Source organism: Homo sapiens, chromosome 2, assembly GCF_000001405.40.
Source record: "Homo sapiens chromosome 2, GRCh38.p14 Primary Assembly".
Classification (NCBI taxonomy): domain Eukaryota; kingdom Metazoa; phylum Chordata; class Mammalia; order Primates; family Hominidae; genus Homo; species Homo sapiens.
In genome coordinates, this window is record NC_000002.12 from 85072013 (window position 1) to 85079542 (window position 7530).

Consider the following 7530-nt stretch of genomic DNA (forward strand, 5'->3'; position numbering starts at 1 on the left):
TACATATTTATGGGGTACATGAGATGTTTTGATACAGGCATGCAATGCATAATAATCACATCATGGAAAATGGGGTATCTATCCCCTCAAGTATTTGAGTTAATTTTTGTATATTGTATGAGATAAGAATGAAAAAACTCATTCTTTTGTATGTGGATTTGTTGAGCAACATTTGTTAAGGAGACAGTCTTTCCTCAGTTGAATGGTCTTGTTACATATGTTAAAAATCAATTGACCCTAAGTGAATGGGTTTATTCCTGGACTCTCAATTTTATTCCATTTTTCTACATGTTTATCCCAGTGGCAGTACTATACTGTTTCAATTACTGTAGCTTTTTTTTTTTTTTTTTTTTTTTTTTTTTTTTTTTTGAGACAGAGTCTTGCTCTGTCGCCCAGGCTGGAGTGCAGTGGCATGATCTCGGCTCACTGTAACCTCTGCCTCCCGGCTTCAAGCGATTCTCCTGCCTCAGCCTCCTGAGTAGCTGGGATTACAGGTGTGCGCCACCAAGCCCGGCTAATTTTTATATTTTTAGTAGAGACAGGGTTTCACCATGTTGGCCAGGCTGGTCTTGAACTCCTGACCTCATGATGCCCATGCCTCGGCCTCTCAAAGTGCTGGGATTACAGGCATGAGCCACCGTGCCCGAACGATTACTGTAGCTCTATAGTTAGTGTTTAAATCAGAAAATATGAGTCCTCCAACTTTGTTCTTCATTTTCAGTATTGTTCTGGCTACTCAATGTTTCTAAAAATATCATATGAATTTGAGAACTGGCTTTCCCATTTCTTCAAAAAAAAATAGGCAGAATTTTAATAGAGATTGCAGTGAATCTCTAGATAGCTTTGGGTAGTACTACCATCTTAAGGGTAAGTCTTCCAATTTATGCACATGGGATGTCTTTCCACTTATTTAGGTCTTCCTTAAGGTCTTTCAGCAATGTTTTATGGTTTGCAATATACAAGTCTTTCACTTCCTTGGTTAAATTTATTCCTAGATATTTTATTCTTTTAGAAGCTACTGTAAATTGAATTATCCATAATAGCATATAGAAACACAACTCATTTTCATGTGTTGATTTTGCACCCACAAGTTGCTAAAATTGTTTATTAGCAATAGTAGTTTTGTGACTTACTTGGGATTTTCCAAATATAGGATCATGTCATCTGCAAATACAGATAGTTTTACTTCTTCCTTTTTCAATTTGGGTGGTTTTCATTACCTTTTCTTGCCCAATTGCCTGGCTAGAACTTCTAGTACAATGTTGAATAGTCGTGGTGAAAATGGACATCATGTCTTGTTCTTGATCTTAGAGGAAAGCTTTCAGTCGTTCACCATTGACTATGATGTTAGCTGTGGGTTTCTCAGAAATGCCGTTTATTAGATTGAGAAATTCCCTTCTATCCCTAGTTTTCTGAGTGTTCTTACCATGAAAGGTGCTTGGATTTTGTGAAATGTTTTTTTGATCATGATCTCATGATTTTCTTCTTTTGCTCTATTAATGTGGTATATTACACTGATTGATTTTTTTTTTATGTTGAACCACCCTTTCATTCCTGGGATAAATCTGACTTGGCCATGGTGTTTTAATATGCTCTTGGATTCAGTTTGCTAGTATTTTGTTGAGGATTTCTGCACCTATGTTCATAAGGGCCACCCTCTATAGTGTTCTTTTCTTGTGGTGTCCTTGACTTGCTTTGGTATCAGGATAACACTGACCTCATAAGATGAATTAAAAAGTGTTCCCTCTTCTAAATTTTGGAAGAGTTTGAGAGGTACTGGCATTAGTTTCTCTGTATTTGTAGAATTCACCAGTGAAGCTATCTGGCCCTGGACTTTTCTTTGTTTGGAAGTTTTTGATTATTAATTCAATCCCTTTAATTGTTATAGGTCTGTTCAGATGTTTTATGTCTTCTGAGTAAGTGTGGTAGTTTGTGTTTTTCAAAGAATTTGCCCATTTTACCAAGGTTATTTAACTTATTAGTGTACAATTATTCATAGTATTTTCTTATGATCCTTTTTAGTTTTGTAAAGTCAGTAGTAATACCCACACTTTTGTTCCTGATTTTAGTTATTTGCATCCTCTATCTTTTTTCTTTGTTGGTGTAGCTAAAGGTTTGCCAGTTTTGTTGATCTTTTAAAGAACCAATCTTGGTTTTAGTGGTTCTCTCTATTGTTTTTCCATTCTCGATTTCATTTATCTCCATTTTTTTATTATTAATTTCTTATGCTAGCATTGGGTTTAGTTTGCTCTTCTTTTTCTAAGTTTCTTGAAAAGTTGGGCTAGGTTATTAATTTGAGATCTTTCTTCTTTTTTAATGAGGTCATTAACTATTATAAATTTCCCTCAAAACACTGCATTTCATAAGTTTTGATGTATTGTTTATATATATATATATATTTTGTTGTTGTTTGTTTGTTTTTGGAGTCAGGATCTTATTCTGTTACCCAGGCTGGAGTGTAGTGACAAGATCTTGACTCACTACAAACTCCCCCTCCCAGGCTCAAGCAGTCCTCCTACCTCAGCCTCCTCAGTAGCTGGGTCTACAGGCATGTGCCACCACGCCCGGCTAATTTTTTGTATTTTTGGTAGAGATGGGTTTCACTATATTGCTCAGGCTGGTCTTGCACTCCTGAGCTCAAGCAATCCACCACCTCGGCCTCCCAAAGTGCTGGGACTACAGGTGTGAGCCACTACATCCAGCCTGTTTTTATATTTTTCATTCATCTCTAAGTATTTTTAAATTTCCTTTGTGATTTCTTCTTTTTTTTTTCTGGGCACCCCCCGAACCAGAACAGGTTCAGAGCAACTCCCAAGTGATTTCTTCTTAAACAACCATTGGTTAAGAGTAAGTTTAATTTCCACATATTCGTGACTTTTTCAGTTTTCTTTCTGTGATTCATTCTTATTTTTATTCCATTGTATTCAGAAAAGATATATTGTATGATAATTCAATCTTTTAAAATTTATTAAGACTTCTTTTGTGGCCTAGCAGAGGTCTATCCTGGAGAATGATCTATATGCACTTGAGAAAAATGTGTATATGCATACACATATGTTTCTATACATAACATAACATTGACCATTTTAACCATTTATTTATTTATTTTTATTTTTTGAGATGGAGTTTCACTGTTGTTGCCCAGGCTGGAGTGCAGTGGCACAATCTCAGCTCACTGCAACCTCCGCCTCCCGAGTTCAAGCTATTCTCCTATCTCAGCCTCCCAAGTAGTGGGGATTATAGGGGTGCACCACCACACCCGGCTAATGTTTTGTATTTAGTAGAGATGGGGTTTCACTGTGTTGGTCAGGCTGGTCTCGAACTCCCGACCTCCTGTGATCCACCCGCCTTGGCCCCCCAAAGTGCTGGGATTACATGCGTGAGCCACTGTGCCTGACCATTTTAACCATTTTTAAGTGTACAGTTTAATGGTATTACAATGTTATCCAACCATCACTATCCATTTCCAGAACTTTTTCATCATCGCAAACAGAAACTCTGTACCCATTAAAAAATAACTCCCTGTTATCCCCTCCCCTCAGCCCCTGGTAACTTGTATTATACTTTCCGTCTTTATGAATTTGCTTTTTAGTGGTACCCCAAGCTATGCCCTGGTCCTTCCTGGGGAGGGAGACAGGGCCATTCCACACAGACAGAACAGCCCGCCACAGCACTGTTATGAGCGCCAGGTACGAACCAGGCTTGTGGAACCTGTTATCTCTGGTCCCATTTCAGGCTTAGGGTTTCTTTAAGTTGTGATTAAAAAAAAAAAAAAAAAAGACAGAAAATAGAATTTGGGAGTAGATAACTTCTTGGGGAATTAATGTCGGGAGAATATAGCTGCCATCATTGCCAGGCTCACCTCACGCCTCCTGTCATTTTATGATCTGGCCTGCGACCCCTCACCCATAGTCAGGCTCTTATTCTAGGACCCACCTCCCAAGACAGACCTTGTTAATAACAGTCAAGAAGGCTTTTCAGCATTTTTTAAATTTACTTGTTTGTTTATTACAGACAGGGTCTCACTATGCTGCCCAGGCTGGTCTCAAACTCCTGGTCTCAAGCAATTCTCCCACCTGGCCTCCCAAAATGCTGGGATTACAGGCGTAAGTCACCAGGTCCAGTCCCAGCATTCATGTTTAAGATTTATCATGCCAGGCAAGGTACTAAACGCTTTGCAGTCACCACCACAATATCTCATGGGATCTTCCTGACAAGTCTTTGAGGAAGGCATTATCATCCCATCCTACAGATAAAGAGACTAAAGGTCAGAGAGGTTGATCATTGCCCCAGGACACTAGTTAAACAGATGAACAGATGCTCCTTTCGGAAACCATCTCTAGAATAGCCCTGATGCTCAGACAGAAAGCATCACAAGGAAGTACTCTATCTAGCTAGCTGTCTTCTCTCTCTTGGCTGTCTTGTTCCCAAACTCTGGCCTTCATGTGACCCCAGCCCTGCCTCTTCTTCTATGAGGAAGACCCCTTACCATTACACATCCCCTTTCACTGCCCCTGGCTCTGCCCGCAGTCCCCCTCCCTGGTCATACCAGAAAGCAGTCTTTGCAGCCTGAGCCCAGCCTGATTCTTCACTAGTGACAACTGAATCCTTAAGAATCTTCAAGTTCGTCTCTGTCCCAAGAGAAGCAGGGCAGGGCTGAGAAAGGATGATGACAGAGATTGGGTCCTTGGGAGGGAACCGCAGACTTCACCGGCAGGGAGAGGACTTTGCACCCAGAGAGGGAAGCCTGGGACTTGGTCCTAGACCATGGCCCATGGCAAGAGGTCAGCACAGCTTGTGGAGCTACAGGCCTGTGTGGTGCTGTTGGAGGACCAGGCAAGCTGCAGTCAGGGTCCTAGGGCCTTAAGGTGGCCCAGGGAAGGATTCAGTACACTGGGAAGTCAGATGGGAGGGCAGCTGGGGTGTGCATGGCCTGTCCACAGGCTCTGCTTGTCCTCAGGATGGAGCTTACAGGCAGAGGACACAGGTGGCTGAAAGTGCACAGGACCTGCCCAGGAGCCTCGGAGTTGGGCAGTGTCCTGGGCCAATAGCTTGGAGTAGGAACTGAAACCAGCACAAATTCTCACATCTGGACCCTGTGGTCGGAAATGCGTAGGAAGAGATGGAGGCAGGGGCTGAGATGGGAGCCACTGGACCTTACGACTCACTGGCCTCCTTTCTCAGGCAGCTGAGTTTTAAATTTTATTTAACAAATATTTATTTAAGATTTACTGTGTATCGGCTGGGTGCGATGGCTCATGCCTATAATCCCAGCACTTTGGGAGGCCGAGACGGGCAGATCACGAGGTCAGGAGACCAGCCTGGCCAACATGGTGAAACCCCGTCTCTACTAAAAATACAAAAATTAGCCAGGCATGGTGGCACACGCCTGTAATCCCAGCTACTTGGGAGGCTGAGGCAGGAGAATCGCTTGAACCCAGGAGATGGAGGTTGCAGTGAGCCAAGATCGCGCCACTGCACTCCAGCCTGGGCAATAGAGCGAGACTCCATCTCAAAAAAAAAAAAAAAAAAGATTTGCTATGTATCAGTAAGCGTTTTATATACACTAATGCATTTAATCCTCACAACCCTCAGGAAGGAATTATTAACTCCATTTTACACATGAGAACGCTAAGGCACAGAGAGGTTAAGTGACTTGCCCAAGATCACCCAGGATAGGGATTCAAACACAATCAGCCTGGTTGTAGGGTCCTTGCTCTTTACCACCAGGAGGGGAAATAATGGGCTTTTTCTCCTTCTAAAAAGGAAATATCTCTTGTTTTTCCTGATTTTGAAAGGAACTAAAAAGACACAAAAATATTTAAACAAGATAAAAGGGTATAAACAGAAAGAAGTCTCTCCAGTAGCCCTTGTTAGACATAGAGAAGTTTACTTCTGGTTTATAATGTTGCATATTATAACTAGCTCTTGGGAGATTCAATTTGCAAATCAAAATGACAGGCAGGCCCAGTGTGTGTTGCAAGACTGGGAAATTATGGAAAGCGAGGACTTGGACAGGGAGGAGGCAGCATTGGGAGTAGTGCGTAGTAACTTGTGATGTCTCTAGAACGAAAAGCCATGAAGGGCATGTTCCAGGGGGGGTCTAAGGAAGCCCAGAGGCCCAGGGGTGGGAGGCTTTGGCACTTATGAATATTCCAGGCTGGCTGTTGGGCCTTCAGGAGCAGAGCCTGGCCCTCGGCAGTGGGCACAGCTGGGGCCTCAAGCTGGCAGGCTGCAGAGGACATCCAGCTTGGCTGATCTGACCCCCTCTCCTGCCCCCTCCCAGCTCATCGCCTGGGTCTGGGGCTGGCAGGGGAGAGTGAGCTCCCCTAGGCCCCACCCAGCTTCCCTTAATGAGCCCCACTAGGAGCTCCAGCTGTCAATCACCCTGGCTCCTGGCACAGCCCAAATGTGCCTTCGGCCTTCATATTAGGACGAGGCTGGTGAGCAAAGATGCTGGGCATAGCAGCAGCAGGTCTGTTCAGGAGGGCAGTGATTAAGGACCAGCATTTCCTAGGGGATGAGTGTCTCCAGCTCCAATGAGAAGTGGGGCCCCTAAACTGTTGGATTGTTTTCCTTTCCTGGCACTTCCAAGAAGCCCAAGGCTACCTTTCTCTCCAGGGTCCCCACAGAGTGTGAGGTGTCTGGGGGAGAGAATAGAGCTTGCAGGCGAAGCACAGATCAGTTCATGCCCTCACAGGATGAGCGTAGAGCCTGGAAGATGGCGAGCAGCCAAGCAGCCAAAATCAGAGAGCCTGGAGGGGAAGGAGAGCAGAGCAGGTGCTCAGGAGCCACCTGGAGATGTCACAGTCTGCTCTGCCATCCGCCCTTCTCCGGGAACCTGCAGCTACAGGGCCATGCATTGAACCACAGGACCCAGGTCTGGAGGGCCTCAAGTCTGTGCCCTTGGTTTCAGGAAGGCTCATTAAGTCCAGCAGCTCAAGGAGAGGGAATTACATCACACTTATGAACACTCAGAGGTGAGGACATAGAGGGCCCTCTCAAAAGCTGCCTACCACAGTCCACTCTTTGGCCCCCAAAGATTCAGAACTCCCTCACAGACAAAACGCATTAACTCCTTCCCAAGGTGCCCTAAATTCTCCTTCCATTTCAGCATCAGCTGAAAGTCCAGTTCCGCATCATCATCTCAATCAGGTCCAGCTGTGATGGGAGCGCCTGGGGTGTAGCTCCAACTTTCAAGTGTGTTTCCTCTCCATCTGTGGATTCATGAAACCAAAGAGACCAGATGTCTGCCCTGCACCAATCCACCTGACATGCAGTGGTGGGACAGACATGGATCACAGCTGTAGAGATTCCTGCTCAAAAATTGGGAAAATGAGAGGTAAGAAAACCACTGGTCCACAAAAATTCTCAAATCCAGCTGACTAAAATATTGGGAGTTCCTTGATGAGGTTTCAAGACTTAGGAATAATTCTCCATGACTTTTGGCTGCATCTTTTAGGCTCTTGGCTCGGCCTCTGAGCCATCCCTCCTTTATCATAAAAGGTAACAATCCTTTGCACCTGAATG

At 44.0% G+C, this 7530-nt stretch overlaps 2 annotated features.

Annotated features, from left to right (window-relative positions):
- Positions 5772-6273: an enhancer, noted in NCBI's record as "H3K4me1 hESC enhancer chr2:85304907-85305408 (GRCh37/hg19 assembly coordinates)". NCBI's record gives its function as "activates a minimal SCP1, AML or CMV promoter by ChIP-STARR-seq in primed H9 embryonic stem cells {active_cell/tissue: H9 hESC(primed)}" and the evidence as "EXISTENCE:reporter gene assay evidence [ECO:0000049][PMID:30033119]".
- Positions 6274-6773: an enhancer, noted in NCBI's record as "H3K4me1 hESC enhancer chr2:85305409-85305908 (GRCh37/hg19 assembly coordinates)". NCBI's record gives its function as "activates a minimal SCP1, AML or CMV promoter by ChIP-STARR-seq in primed H9 embryonic stem cells {active_cell/tissue: H9 hESC(primed)}" and the evidence as "EXISTENCE:reporter gene assay evidence [ECO:0000049][PMID:30033119]".